This window comes from Homo sapiens, chromosome 3, assembly GCF_000001405.40.
Source record: "Homo sapiens chromosome 3, GRCh38.p14 Primary Assembly".
Taxonomy (NCBI): Eukaryota; Metazoa; Chordata; class Mammalia; order Primates; family Hominidae; genus Homo; species Homo sapiens.
Window position 1 is genome coordinate 113,422,221 of NC_000003.12, and position 14,098 is coordinate 113,436,318.

Consider the following 14,098-nt stretch of genomic DNA (forward strand, 5'->3'; position numbering starts at 1 on the left):
GAGTTGAAGGATCATTGGAGGAATTTGTATTTCTTGAGCCCTTGTTTAAAAACAAATTCTGATTTTAGAGAATTCCACTTATTCATAAGTAAATAATAATTTTCAGAGAAAGAAATTATGGAAAGTTTTAACAAGAAGAAAATGTAGAATGTAAAAAGAGAAGATTTACATTAATGCAATTTAAATTGTGAAATATAAACAAATTATAACCAACCACAAGCAGCCTATCTCATTACCAAATGGTTAAACTGAAAGAGAGAGATAAAGCATTTCAGGGTACTGGATCTGTTCAAGAAAAAGAAATTTTATAAATTTAATAAACACATAAATGCCTAAAATTAAATCTTGTATAGAAATGTGAATGAATATGTGATCCAAAGATGTAAATGAAGCTATTCAAGCCTCCTGGAGGAAGTTTTGCCCACCGGTTTTTTTCTTTCCTTCAAACCACTGCTCTCACATCCCCTTCTTCCCTTTCTTTCTTTCCCTCTTCCCAGGTGGCAATATGATACCTCAGAAGGCTAAAGCATGTTAGTAGCTATGAGAATAGAAATTGGTTACCATCTCTTCACTACTTTAGATGAAAATTAGGAATTGGAGAAATTATCATTTATCTAATATTATTATCTTTAATTTTAGCAGGAAAACTCCCTTTTACATGCTGCTGCCCTGATAAAAGGCTCTTTCAAACCCAGAATGGATCAGATTGTAACTTCTCAAATTCTCCCCCTCTAAATTACAACTTACTGAGGGCAAAGACTGCTTCTCTCCATCTCTATTTCCCAGAATGCCTAACACACTGTCTTCAGCCTATTGGCTATTCAGGAAATGTTTGTTGAACTAATGAATTCATTAATTTGTGCATAACTGGAATCTGATCCTTCCTTTTTTTTTTTTTTTTTTTTTTTTTGTGAGATGGGGTCTCACTTTGTCACCCAGCCTGGAGTGCAGTGGCATGAACATGGCTCCCTGCAGGCTCAACTTCCCAGGCTCAAGAGATTCTCCCACCTCAGCCCCCCAGGTAGCTGAGACTACAGGTGTGCACCACCACACCTGGCTAATTTTTGTATTTCTTGTAAAGACAGCATTTTGCCATGTTGCCCAGGCTGGTCTCGCACTCCTGAGCTCAAGTGATCTGGCTGCCTCCTGAGCTCAAGTGATCTGCCTGCCAAGCCTCCCAAGGTGCTAGGAGTACAGGCCTGAGCTGCTGCGCCTGGCCTGATCCTTTCCTTTTAATCCCAGAAGACAGTGGCAGACCCTTAGTAGAGTTCTGAAAATCTTAAAATGTGTTCTGATGTACCTTCAGCTCCCTTTGTCTTATCTCACCCTCTCTTCTGGCTTGCCTCTTCTTAAATTCCTGTCAAAGACCTAAAGCTTTCAATGTTTTTTCATGGCCATCTAGAAACTTCACTTTAAAATTGTTTAAACACTGTTAAGTTCTGTATAATCTCTTTTAAAATTATACCATGGTTTAAGTAATACTTTATAAATGGCACATTTCTTGCTATTAAAAGAAAACTTTAGCCAAATTAAATTTAACAGAGTTTAATTGAGCAAAGAACCATTCAAGAATTCGGCAGCCTTCTGAGCCAGAGTAGGCCCAGAGACTCCAGCACAGCCACGTGCAGGAAGATTTATGGACTGAAAAAGGAAAGTGACATACAGAAAACGAAAGTGAGGTACAGAAATAGCCGAATTGGTTACAGCTTGGCATCTGCCTTATTTTAACACAGTTTGAACAGTTGGCCACCTTTGACCACAACTCAGTAACTGGCTCAAGAGTAGGCTAGAGTCTAACTCCCTTTAGGTTATAGTTCACCATGTACAGAGAAACCTGGAGGCTGAACTTAAAGTATGTAAGGAGGCAGCTTTAGGCTAAACTTGATTTAACATTGCTAAAATTTAGAAGACATAAATTTAAAAACTGAAGTAGAGGGCTAGGCGCGGTGGCTCACACCTGTAATCCCAGCATTTTGGGAGGCCAAGGCGGGCAGATCACGAGGTCAGGAGTTCGAGACCAGCCTGGCCATTATGGTGAAACCCAATCTCTACTAAAAATACAAAAATTAGCTGGATGTGGTGGTGCATGCCTATAGTCCCAGCTACTCGGGAGGCTGAGGCAGGAGAATTGCTTGAACCCGGCAGGCGGAGGTTGCAGTAAGCAGAGATCGTGCCATTGCACTCCAGCCTGGACGACAGAGCAAGACTCCATCTCAAAACAAAACAGAACAAAACAAAAAAGCAAAAACTGAAGTAGAATCAATATAATATACTAATAATCATTAAAGGGTTAATTAAAAGAGTACTTAGGGAATACCTGATGGCTGACTTGTTCTTCCTAGAATTCCTCACAAGATATAGAGATTATATATGTCCATCTGCAGAGAGGAGAACTAAATCTAATGGGGGCCATCCCAGCAAGGCAGAATTTTATTCAAGGCCCAAAAAGCTCTCTAGTGAGCCGTCCAAAAGTGGGGTAAGCTACTTTGTGATTTTCCTGGTGTTGAAAATGTTTAAGAAAAGGCTATAGTTTATACAGCCACCCATCCAGCACGAATAGAGATAATTCATATATTGGAATAAAAGTTAAGGTTCTTCTGACTCTGATGTTTAGAATTTAGGCATATTTGTCTAATACAGACCCTCCCATCCTGGAGCAGTGAGAAGGCAGTGCACTGCCAAACCAACTCGGAGTTTCTTCAGAGTACATATTCCCAAGTCCCTCTCCACAAAGAACTAGCACAGTAGGTCCCGGAAGGCATCAGAGCATTGTGTACTTTAGGAAAAACTTCCAGGGGACTCTAATATACCACCCCATCCCATTTGGGAAAAAAAGGCTAAAAGAAAGCAAACAGCATAACTTTTGTCAGAAACTTGTCCAAAGATAAGGAAAAAAAAAGCCATGAAGAGAGAAAATTCCAGGTTACAAGATAAATCAGCACGAATTAATTTAGTTACACCTGGGATTTAACAACATGTTCTATTTTTATGTTTTTATGTAAAAAGCAAAACTGAGTCAGGGAGTACACCACCCTATCTCTGTAAGTATTCCTTATGTAAGAGGCCAGTTGGTGGTTTAGGCCACGTGGTGATAAGTACTAACTATCCAAAAGGGAAGCACAGTACATTGCCAGCTAAGGACCTCAATGAAAACTGTTTTCTAACTACCCGCATTGCAAACCTAACATCATAATGTGATGACGAACACAAAATCCCCTTGTCAATCATCCTGTTTCTACATATCTTAAAAGACTCTTATTCTCCAAACCAATTAAAACTTTATATTTTGTGCCCTGTTTCCTAAGAATTGTCTTCTCTGATAGCTCATCTGATATATAATGTGAAAGTACTAATGCCTTACAATGGACAGACACATAAGTGTTTCAAGAAGGGAAATTGATTATGTAACTTGACAGGCACTGACAAAAGTAAATGGGAAGAAGAAGCCTTCTGATTTCCTTCACTCAGATCTCATGAACTGCAGCCTTTCCACTTGTGCAAAGGACAGCCAGAAAAAATATTTCTCTGTATGGTTATTTGGCATCAAACAAAAGCTTAGTTTAAATTAAGATCATGCATTTCTATCAAATCTCTAAGAATTCAAGCTTCTTAGAATTACCTAATATGGGTTGGCACACATTTTTTTATAAAGGGAAGGTAGTAAATAGTTTTTGCCTTGTGAGCCAGATGGTCTCTGTCACAACTACTTATCCCTGTCCTTGTTGTGTGATGGCAGCCATAATAAACAAAATGTAAGCAAATGGATGTGGCTGTGTTGCAATAAAACTTGATTTACCAAAACAGGTGGGAAGGCACATTTGGGCTCCCTGGGCTATAGTTTGCTGACCTCTGACCTAAGAAATGAAAATCCCAAAATTATACATATTTAGCCAGGGTGGATACACAAGTGTGAGAAGATCCAGTGGTATGTTTGAATCCAGAGTCACAAAAGGCATCGAAGCAAGCTCCATATAATCATAGAAGAAGCTCTCTGATATTTTCTTCTTAACTTCCTCCTCTGCTTCTTCCACAGCTGGAGCAGGGGTTTGCTGAGGTACTAAAAAAATAAAATAATTTAAGAAGAGTGATATGGTTTGGCTGTGTCCCCACCCAAATCTCAACTTGAATTGTAGTTCCCATAATCTCCACATGTCATGGGAGAGACCTGGTAGGAGGTAATTGAATCACAGGGGCTGTTACCTCCATGCTGTTCTCATGATGGTGTATGAGTTCTCACAAGATCTGATGTTGTATAAGGGACATTTCCCTCCTTCGCTCTGCACTTCTCCTTCCTGCCATTATGTGAAGAAGGACATGTTTGCTTCCCTTTCTGCCATAATTGTAAGTTTCCTGAGGCCTCCCCAGCCATGCAGAACTGTGAGTCAAGTAAACCTCTTTCCTTTATAAATTACCCAGTCTCAGGTATGTGTTTATTAGCAGCATGAGAACGGACTAATACAAAGAGTGTCTGGTGAATCCAAAATTGTATTTCCCAGAGACAGGAGGAATGTACACAGCCTGCAATACTCTAGCAGTAAGTACTACTACTGGCTGGAAGATAGGAAGCAGTCATCGGTGAGCATGGAAGGAAGAGCCATTATGCCCACGTGCATCAGGAGTAAATGCTGAGTTCTGGTCGGTCATGGCGCAACAGTCTCCAAGGGGAACTCCCAATTACTTCCAAAGGAAAGTTGAACTCCCACTAATCTGTAGTGGAGCAGTTTTTATACCTTCTTAAAACCCAGAAGAATGAGTATCAGAGTACTCTATGTGATCCTCAGAAATAAAAACCACAAGTCTAGGGCTGCTAAAGTACCCTACCAAAATATGTACTTGTCCTTTTATCATTCCCACACATATGTACATCCTGCACATTTTTCTTTCTATGGATTTATAACTCTTCCATTTGTCTGGGCTTTGTCTCTAAAACAGTGACAATTACTGACAGAAAACTAATAATACCTACCTGTAGTGCTTTGCAAATCACCATACTGAAATGAACTCAAACTTCCTTCCAAACGTTCCTCATCTGAGTCTTCTTCTAAATATGATCCTTCCCCTTTGGTAAATGTTTCATCTGTGTCATCTTCTAAAAATGTGTTATCTTCTTGAACAGGAGCTATTAAAATTTGTTTTAATAACTTCTAAATTTTGATTAAACATTTTCTTATTTCTAAAGTAGCTAAAACTTCCAATTTCCTTGTGCTATAGATGTAATAAATCTAATACATACTCAAAAATTTCTAGAAGAATCATTTTATTTGGTCAGTCTTGTAACTTTACAAAATAAGAAAGCCTTTTCTGTTTGTTAATCTCCATTTTCACTTCATTTTCAGTCTATTTCCTATCATTAAATACTTACAAGAAGTAAAAGATAAAAAGAAAGAGGTTAGTATGCTGCTATCATAATTTCAACTAAATTCAATTTTACTAACTTTTATAGGGAACCTGTTACGTTAAAGACAAACAAGCCTTATTGTCTTTCTTTCTCTGAGTATGCTGATTTCTCTTGGAAGTGATATCCCAGGAATAAGTTGGAATATTGGCTTTAGGACAAGCTGGGAATGAGAACTGGTATAGGAGTAAAATGGCCCCAGGTATAAGCCAACATTCAGATCAAGTGCAAACATGAGGATGGTTAAAATATACAATGCCAAGCAGGATGGGTATACTTTCATATAGAGCTAGGTGAACTTTCAGAAGAATAAGGAAGAAATGGCAAATGTACTACTAGGTACCAGAGCTACATAGTAGATCTGAGATGAGGCTAAAAGATTAGGAACAAAGCCCAAGACTAATATGAGTAAGATAGAAAAGCTGGGCCAAGCCAATTAGTTGCGGAACAGGGCAGAGTTCCTTAGGATGCGTGTATTTGGATGGCAAGAAAGTAATCCTGGGTGCCTAAATAGGCCAAACAGATTCCCCAAGAGGGGGCCCTGGAGAACTACTCTCTAATAATACCTTAGCTCTTTCTTGTGACTGTAGCAACCAAAGACTATTTCCTCATTTCAAGATTAGGGCACTACAAGTGTAACACTCCTAACTGCTGGGTTCCCCAGGAAAGGAGTTAGAACTGGTAGATAAGGTGATCACAGATTAATGAATTGCGAGTGAATACAGATGAAGGAGAAGACGTAATAAAAAATAATGGGTATTCTGAGCCTGGAGAAGGGTTGTGCTACAGACGGAAAACTAGAGTTAGGGGAAGAAAACTAATTTGGCAGGAAGTAGGCACATTAAATCAAGCTGGCAAATCAACACACTTAGGCAACTTTGTGAAGGCTGGATATTTCTCTAGTTTTTATAATCCTAAAATAGACAGATGGAAGACTTATGGTTTGAAGAATAAATCAGTATTTGCCTTTCTATTCTTGGAAATAATCTAAAATCAACATTGAGAATAAATACCAAAAACACAAACTCCATTTTTTTGTATAACTAGAAGCAGTTAAAACCTGAAATCACAAATGGATGGCAGGGCTGCTGGCAAAAGGGCTGGCAAAATTAGTGGAGACTGAACAAGGATGGGTGCAGGAGGAAGCAAAGGAAGGTGACCAAGGAGAAAGGAATGCCATAACTGTAGATATCAAAAATAACCTGCTGGGATTTTTGGTGTATGACCCACAATTTTATATACAAGTTTCTTCCATTTTTTTTGTTTGTTTCCTCCAGCCAATGGATGTAGGAAGCTTTGGGACCTCTCCTCTCCAGCTATCTGAGAGATACTGCTTCCCGCAAACAGTTTGCCTCTGTGATCCTTATTTACCTCTACCTTTTCCATGAGATTGAGAACACTATAAGAAAGCCTACAAATGCTATGGTTGCACATACAGAAAAATCCGTAAGAGCTACTTTATAAAAAATTTATAAGAACTAAATTATAATTTATTATAATTTTAAAAAGAGTTCAGCATGGTTACTGCATACAACAACAATATACAAATATTAATGGTAGGCATGTATACTTTGGCTATTATGAAGTAACTAGTACTAAGCTGCTTTCTTACTATGATTGTGGAATTACTTAGTTTTTCTTTAATTCTATTTTTGCTTTGTGTATTATGATGCTGTTACTAGGTGAATACACATTTATGATTATTATGTTTTCTTAATTGATCCTTTTATCTTTATGAATAAATTGATCCTTTTACCCTTATGTCACTGGTAGTACTCTTTGCCTTGAAGTCTATTTTATCTGGTATTAATATAGCCACTCCAGCCGTGTTATGCTTACTGTTTGCATGATGTATCTTTTTCTATCCATTTACTTTCAACCTATTTGTATCATTATGCTTAACACGTGTTTTCTATGAGCATCATATAGTTGGTTCTTGTTTTTATTAGCCATGCTGATAATCTCTGCCTTTTTATATTAATGTTCAGTTAACTAATAATTAATGTAATTATTGATATGGTTAGATTTTAATAACATATGCTTGTGAAATTAACAAATAATATTTGATAAGTTATTTTCTGTTTTTCTCCTCCTACCTGTCCTTTTTCCCTCTTTTTCTCTTTCCATGTTTTCTTTTAGATTATTTACTCTTTAGAATTCTATTTAAATTTCTGTTGGCTTTTTAGCAATTCTGTGTTTTATTAGTGGTTGCTTCAGAGATTACAATATATAACAACTTTCTACAGTCTACTTAAGAGTTACCATTTATTATAGTAACACGTATCTTTCAGCAATTGATAGAACAACTAGTCAAAAACTTAGTAAAGACATAGATGATCTGAACATCACTATCAACCATCCTGACCTGACATTTATAAAACACTTACACCTATCAATACAGGATACACATTCAAGCATACATGGGTCATTTACCAAGACAGATCACTTGCTGGGACATAAGACCAGTTTTAATACATTTAAATGGATTGAAATCATATAGAATAGATATGTTCTCTGAAAACAACAGAGGTAAGTTAGAAACCAATAATGATAAGATACCTTGAAAAAAAGTCCAATATTTGGAAATTAAATTACACAATAAAAATAATGCATGGGTCAAAGGGAAATCAACAAAGAAATTAGAAAAGTTTTCAAATTAAAATTTATTAAAATACAACATATTAAAATTGAGATATAGCTAAAGCAGTCCTTGGAAGGAAATTTATAGCTTTCAATACATATGTAAGAAAAGAACAAAAGTCAAAAAAAATCAATGACCTAAAGTTCCACCTCAAGAAGCTGGAAAAATAAATGAAAAAAAAAAAAAAAACAAAGTAAATTAGCAAAGCCAAAATCAGTCTTTGAAAAGATCAACAACATTGATAAGCTCCTAGCTACACCAATGAAGAAATAAAAGAGAAACAACATAAATCTGCAACATCAAGAATGAAAACAGATCCTACAAAGTTATGTCAACAAATTTGACAATTGAGAAGAGAAGTGGGCAAATTGCATGAAAGATACGAACTTGCAAAACTTAGTAAAGAAGAAATAGAGAGCCCTCTATTTAAAAAACTGAATTCATGGTTAAAATTTTCCCACTCATCAAGAAAATTCCAGGCCCAGACAGCTTTACTGGTAAATTCTACCAAGCATTTAAGGAAGAAATAATACCAATTCTACACAAAATATTTTTGAAAATAGAAAAGAACAAAATACCTCCCAAAATTATTAAATAAGGTCTGCAATAATTTAGTCCTTTGATAAGCATAAGAAATCAATGCCTTAGTAACTAACAGTCCTTCACCATCGTGAGAAATGATGGATGGTTTAGCTGGTACACTCGACCTAAATTTCTTAATAGAACTCAGAGATAGCAGAAACCTCTTGTTAAGTATGGGAAAAAGTCTACTCCAACTTCTCTGCTTGGGTGGAATACAAGGACTTTTATTCATTCTACATGAGAATCCCAGAGTAAAAACTTGCTGGATGTGCTAACAAGCCTGAGAGCAAAGCAAGGTTTTCAGGGGTGGGGGGAATGCAGCTATGATCAGGTATGAGGCTGAGCCAGGAGGAAGAGACCTCTTCACGCAGCAACAAGGTACAGGATGTTCAGAATGCCAGAAAATTATTTCACATTATCATTTGGGAGTCTAAGACATATGATATGTGAACTAATTAATGAGCTGAGCACTGGGCCAGGTCACACTTGAAAAGGTCTGCGCCTAACAGCATCTGACATAAGGAAGGCAGGTCCTGAAGGCAATGCTAGACAAAGGGTCATTATCATTAAATCCATCAAGGGAAAGTTGAGAGTAGCATCCAGGAAAACACTGCCGAGGACTGGAAACCAACACACAGACAATCCTGTGTCAGAAATGTAGGGAGTACAGAAACATGAAAAAGGAAAAACTAGGGGGGAACAAACTAAAGTTTCTGAAGTAAGCGATATAATGATACTTTTTGGAAAGAACTCTAGTGGTGGTGTGGAGGGAGATCTGGACAGGAAGACTGAGGTAGAAATCCATGTTGCAAGAGTCTAAACCAGAGAAGACAAATGCCTAAAATAAAATATAATGTGGAGAAACTGTGGATTTACAAGACATGTCTGCGATAGATTAAAAGAATTTAATGCAAATTTTGCATGTGTATTGATTTTCCCAGGACCTGATCTTCTCTAGGTGAACAGTCAAAATTAAATTTCTCAAATCATATTTAGGATTAGAACCTTAAATAGTCAAGATTCCACTAAGATACCTAACATCGTGATAGTCAGTCAGAAAGAGCCAGCCATCTTTCAAAAATCCTAGTTATAAAATTCCTCCTTTTTTCTTCCATTGCAGCCTATGAAGTCCTTCCACATGTTATGCAATTTAATTCCCAAATGACTCATAATTGTTTTAATGGGTGAGAAAATTGAGGCTCAGAAAGATGTGGTAATGTTTCCAAGATCAAGCATCTCTAAATGGTAGATCCAGGACTCAAAACCAAAGTCCAGGTCTCTTTCCACTACATTGTATCAGAAAAGTCCATATAAGACTTAGTAGCTCTCACAGGAGAACTCTAGACCAGACGTGTGGATAGGTTATTATCAACTTGTGTGCCAGGAGCTGTGATAAATAAGTAAAACACAGACAGCTCTTAAGGAACTTAGAGCTTTGTAAGGGAGTTGAACAAGTAAACCATTTCTGTTCTATAAACCCAGATATGCACTATTTAAAAATTATTTTGCCCATTTTTTTGACTTTTAGAAAATTATTTTTAGTTTTGTTGAAGTACATGCCCATAACTTAAAAAGTCAAGTAATGCTAAAAGACTTGTCTTTTAAAATACTCAACTTTTCCCTGCTTAACAGCCTTCTCTATCTCTCCAGAAGAATCACTTTTAGCTTTTAATCTTTTTTCTTCTGATATTTACCTCCATATATCTAAACAATATGGATATACTGCTCTCTCTAGCTACTTTTAGACAGTGTTTATTATGGGAAGATGAAGAATGTTAAATCTCTATCACCACTTGCTATCTCTCCGCCCTTGCAATATAATCAAAGCACAAAAAAACTATAGTGAAGTCCATGCTTACTATTTTTAGTATACTGCCTTAATAACACTCATTCCTGAGTTAAGAATGTATTATTTTATTTCCTTCTTGAACAACTCGCTTTTCTAAAACTAATACCTCATTTATTTTCACTTTTTAACTTTCTGGAATCTCCTGATAAATATTCCCACATCTTGTCATAGTTCTATAAATTCCACTCAGTTCAATTTTCTACATGCATCTATCAGATAATCTATTATTTAACATTTTTAACTTTCTTGGAGGTGAAAATTCTCCTTTCCTTGCTTCAGTATAATTGTTCTCTGCATGGCTGCCCAAGTGTCATCCTAGGCATTACCTTTACCTTATTTCTATTTTGAATCTCCTATTTCCTGGACCATATGTAGTCCTTTTTCTTTGCTAACTCCATCATTTTTATGGAGCCCACCTTCCTACAGCTTTCTGGGAACAGGGAGTATAAGATCTATTTTGGCCCAGCATGGTGGCTCATGCCTGTAATCCCAGCACTTTGGGAGGCAGAGGCAGGTGGATCACCTGAGGTCAGGAGTTCGAGACCAGCCTGACCAATATGATGAAACCCCATCTCTACTAAAAATACAAAAATTGGCTGGGTGTGGTAGCAGGCACCTGTAATCCCAGCTACTCAGGAGGCTGAGGCAGGAGAATCACTTGAACCCAGAAGACGGAGGTTATAGTAAGCCAAGATCGTACCATTGCACTATAGCCTGGGCAACAAGAGCAAAACTCCATCTCAAAAAAAAAAAAAAAAAAAAAAAAAAAGATCTATTTTATAACATCCTGCTCTTTCCATTCTACTATAAAAATTAATTATTTAAATGTTTACCTAAGTTTAATACTTTTAAAAGTATACATATTATCTTTACTTACATCTTGATTCTGATTTAGAAGACCTCAGAGACTTCTTCCCATCACTCTTTGATGTAACTGATTTCTCCCCATCAGTATCCTGATCATCTGGTTCCTTCATTTCCTCTGTAAGTACAAAATGGGGATGAGATATGGATAAAGCTGTAAAATTGAAACTAACAGATTTCCCCCTAACATATTTCATTAGCACCAAACACCATGTGTGTCAATAATCCTTGTTTGCACAGGATCCAGGATGACCCACCAGTAGGAGGGTGCAACTACCACCAGAGACCTCTGACCTCTGCAAGACAGCTAATTATAATCACAGATTCTCTTTCTCTAGGTAAATTGTCATTGTGGTGCACTTTGGTTTTCCAGAGGTCCACTACCAAAGTTCATCTTTTCCCCAGATGCTTCACCATTAAAATTAACTTTCTGCCATCCTACCTTTGGTCCATCCCTCCCTCTTTCTCTATTTTCAAATTCCCTTGGAGTTACTAATCAATTTCAGTTTTTAAAATATTTTTTGAGCACACCTGCAGTGTATCAAGTCTTATGTTGGGTACTAAATTACAAACCTGGAGAAGAGAAATATGGTCCCTAACTTTATGGAGCTTGTTTATAAAGATAGATATTAAACAAGCAATTAAAAATAATGAGTGCTACAAAAAGGAAAATGGTACTGTGGGCATGTATAGCAAGAAGCCTAAAACATGATGGGGGGTTAGAGAAGAGGTGTTTGAGACATGGATGATGGTCAGGAGTTGGCCAGGCAAAGAATGTGAAAGATACATTAGGCACATCAAAGAGGGCTGCATCTTTAAAGGGCTGCAAGCAGTCTATTGGCCAGAGTGGGAGAGTAAAATGGATATTGAAGAGAAGGTGGGTACCATATCATAAAGTTGTCTCTAAGCTTTGCTAAGAAGTTTATACCTTATTTCCTTGACAACTGAAAACCATTAAAGGGTTTTAAAGAGGGGAGCGACACAACAGGTTTTCTCTGCCCTCTGTCTATAATGCAGCTTTTCATATATTTGAAAACACCTTCCTTCTAAGTCTTCACTTCTCTATACTAAACACCCTATGTTTCCTCAACATTCTTCTACGATATGCCTGGCAAGCAGAATGGAACACTAGTTCTATTTGGATCAGATTTATAGTTAGATTAGGGTTTGAATCCCAGTACTGACATATAACTAGCTAACTAAACTTTATATGAATTCCCCAACTGTAATGGGAATGAAGAAAAAACTTTTTACAAGCCTGCTATGAGGGTTACTTAAACTGCCACACTGTTATATCTTCCTGGTCTCTGAAGATAGACTGGTATGCCTAAAGCAGATATGGTACACTACACGATCAAAGGACAAAGGAGAGTGTAGTATGATGACTGTCTCCCTTCAAGTGGGCACTAGGGTTCATTCCATGTTTTCCTGCAGTGACATCATAATGATGCCTTCTTTTGATATGGGGGATAACAGTACATTGTCTAAACATTTGTATTATAAACTATGATCAAGAAAGATATAGACCGAGCTCAGTGGCTCATGCCTGTAATCCTGGCAGTTTGACAGGCTGAGGCAGGAGGACTGCTTGAGACCAGGAGTTCAAGACCAACATGAGAAACATAGTAAGACCCTGTCTGTATTAGTTTGTTCTCACACTGCTAACAAAGGCATACCTGAGAATGGGTAATTTATAAAGGAAAGGGGTTTAATTGACTTACAGTTTGGCATGGCTAGGGAGGCCTCAGGACACTTACAATCATAGCAGAAGGGGAAGCAAACACCTCTTTTCTTCACATGGTGACAGCAAGGAGAAGTGCAGAGCGAAGGGGAAGAAAACCCCTTATAAAACCATCAGATTTTGTGAGAACTCACTTACTATCACAAGAACAGGATGAGGTAACTGCCCCCATGATTCAGTTACCTCCCACTGGGTCCCTCCCATGACACATGGGGATTATGGGAACTATAATTACGATGGGATTTGGGTGGGGACACAGCCAAACTGTCTCTAAAAAAAAATTTTAAATGGCCAGGCATAGTGAGGTATGCCTGTAGTCCCAGCTACTCAGGAGGCTGAGGCAGGAGGATCACTTGAGCCCAGGAGTTTGAGGCTGCAGTGAGCTAGGATAGCACCACTGCACTCCAGCCTGAGTGACAGACCAAGACTCTGCTTCTAAAATTAAAAAAAAAAAAAAAGATATGGTCTAACATGATACTCATGTTATTAAATTTTGTATTTTGTACTTTGGAGGCATTCTTCTGGGTTACAAAAATAATGTTTTACTTTTTAAAAAGTGTATGTACGTGTGTGTGTGTGTGTGTGTGTGTGTGTTTTCCTTTCCTTTCTTTTTTAGTTGTGAATCTTCCTTCCTCTCTCTCTCCATCCTTTCTTCCTTTTCTCCTTCCCTTCCTTCCTCTTTCCTTCCACCTAATTGTAGAATATATACCTTTTGGGGTTTATGGAGGGGGTGGGGTTAGGAATCAAACAATAAAAACCTGTAAGTAGCAAAATCTTTTAAAATTCACATTCTGTCATCCTTTTAGTTATCCACATCTCAACATCCACTCCAGCACTGTCAGAAAAGCAGTCTAGTGTGTTGGCCAGGGCTGAGAATATTTTCTATTCCTTCCAGTTTGGGATACACAGACTTGCTTTCTATGTTACTCTACAGTGAGTAACTGTTTTTTTTTTTAAATAAAGAATTATGCAGCCAATTCAGTTATTACAGAGTTTGGTTATAAATGACCACATACTGTGGGTAAA

The 14,098-nt window shown here is 37.5% G+C and overlaps 1 protein-coding gene, 2 long non-coding RNA genes and 1 other non-coding gene across 16 annotated transcripts in view, besides 1 other annotated feature; 1 reads left to right on the plus strand and 3 right to left on the minus strand.

The window, feature by feature from the left end:
- Positions 1 to 11,772, plus strand: part of CFAP44-AS1 (CFAP44 antisense RNA 1) — a 29,995-nt gene extending 18,223 nt beyond the window's left edge. Inside the window, exons 3-6 of the long non-coding RNA NR_046728.1 lie at positions 5,337 to 5,388; positions 6,673 to 6,841; positions 11,363 to 11,451; positions 11,572 to 11,772. This is a non-coding gene — a long non-coding RNA (CFAP44 antisense RNA 1). The remainder of the gene's footprint in view (positions 1 to 5,336; positions 5,389 to 6,672; positions 6,842 to 11,362; positions 11,452 to 11,571) is intronic.
- Positions 1 to 14,098, minus strand: part of SPICE1-CFAP44 (SPICE1-CFAP44 readthrough (NMD candidate)) — a 228,227-nt gene that overhangs the window by 135,291 nt on the left and 78,838 nt on the right. For 6 of the 12 annotated variants that reach the window (NR_183046.1, NR_183045.1, NR_183050.1 and 3 more), the window contains 3 exons: positions 11,345 to 11,449; positions 4,967 to 5,119; positions 3,904 to 4,057 (listed from right to left, as the gene is read on the minus strand). This is a non-coding gene — a long non-coding RNA (SPICE1-CFAP44 readthrough (NMD candidate)). Of the gene's footprint in view, positions 1 to 1,529; positions 4,058 to 4,966; positions 5,120 to 11,344; positions 11,450 to 14,098 lie in introns of those variants that run through there. The other 6 variants (NR_183051.1, NR_183056.1, NR_183052.1 and 3 more) reach the window with 1 other exon arrangement.
- CFAP44 (cilia and flagella associated protein 44) overlaps positions 1 to 14,098 on the minus strand; it is a 154,585-nt gene that overhangs the window by 135,291 nt on the left and 5,196 nt on the right. For both annotated transcript variants that reach the window (NM_001164496.2, NM_018338.3), the window contains exons 2-4: positions 11,345 to 11,449; positions 4,967 to 5,119; positions 3,904 to 4,057 (exon numbers count right to left, since the gene is read on the minus strand). In NM_001164496.2, coding sequence (NP_001157968.1) covers positions 3,904 to 4,057; positions 4,967 to 5,119; positions 11,345 to 11,444 — 407 coding nt within the window. In that variant the 5' untranslated portion in view covers positions 11,445 to 11,449. The remainder of the gene's footprint in view (positions 1 to 3,903; positions 4,058 to 4,966; positions 5,120 to 11,344; positions 11,450 to 14,098) is intronic.
- Positions 1,613 to 1,692: an enhancer, noted in NCBI's record as "active region_20251". NCBI's record gives its function as "activates an Ori minimal core promoter by ATAC-STARR-seq in GM12878 lymphoblastoid cells {active_cell/tissue: GM12878}" and the evidence as "EXISTENCE:reporter gene assay evidence [ECO:0000049][PMID:35858748]".
- On the minus strand, positions 9,898 to 9,980 carry MIR8076 (microRNA 8076). The gene has a single exon (NR_107043.1). It is a non-coding gene; the product is annotated as a microRNA 8076 (primary transcript).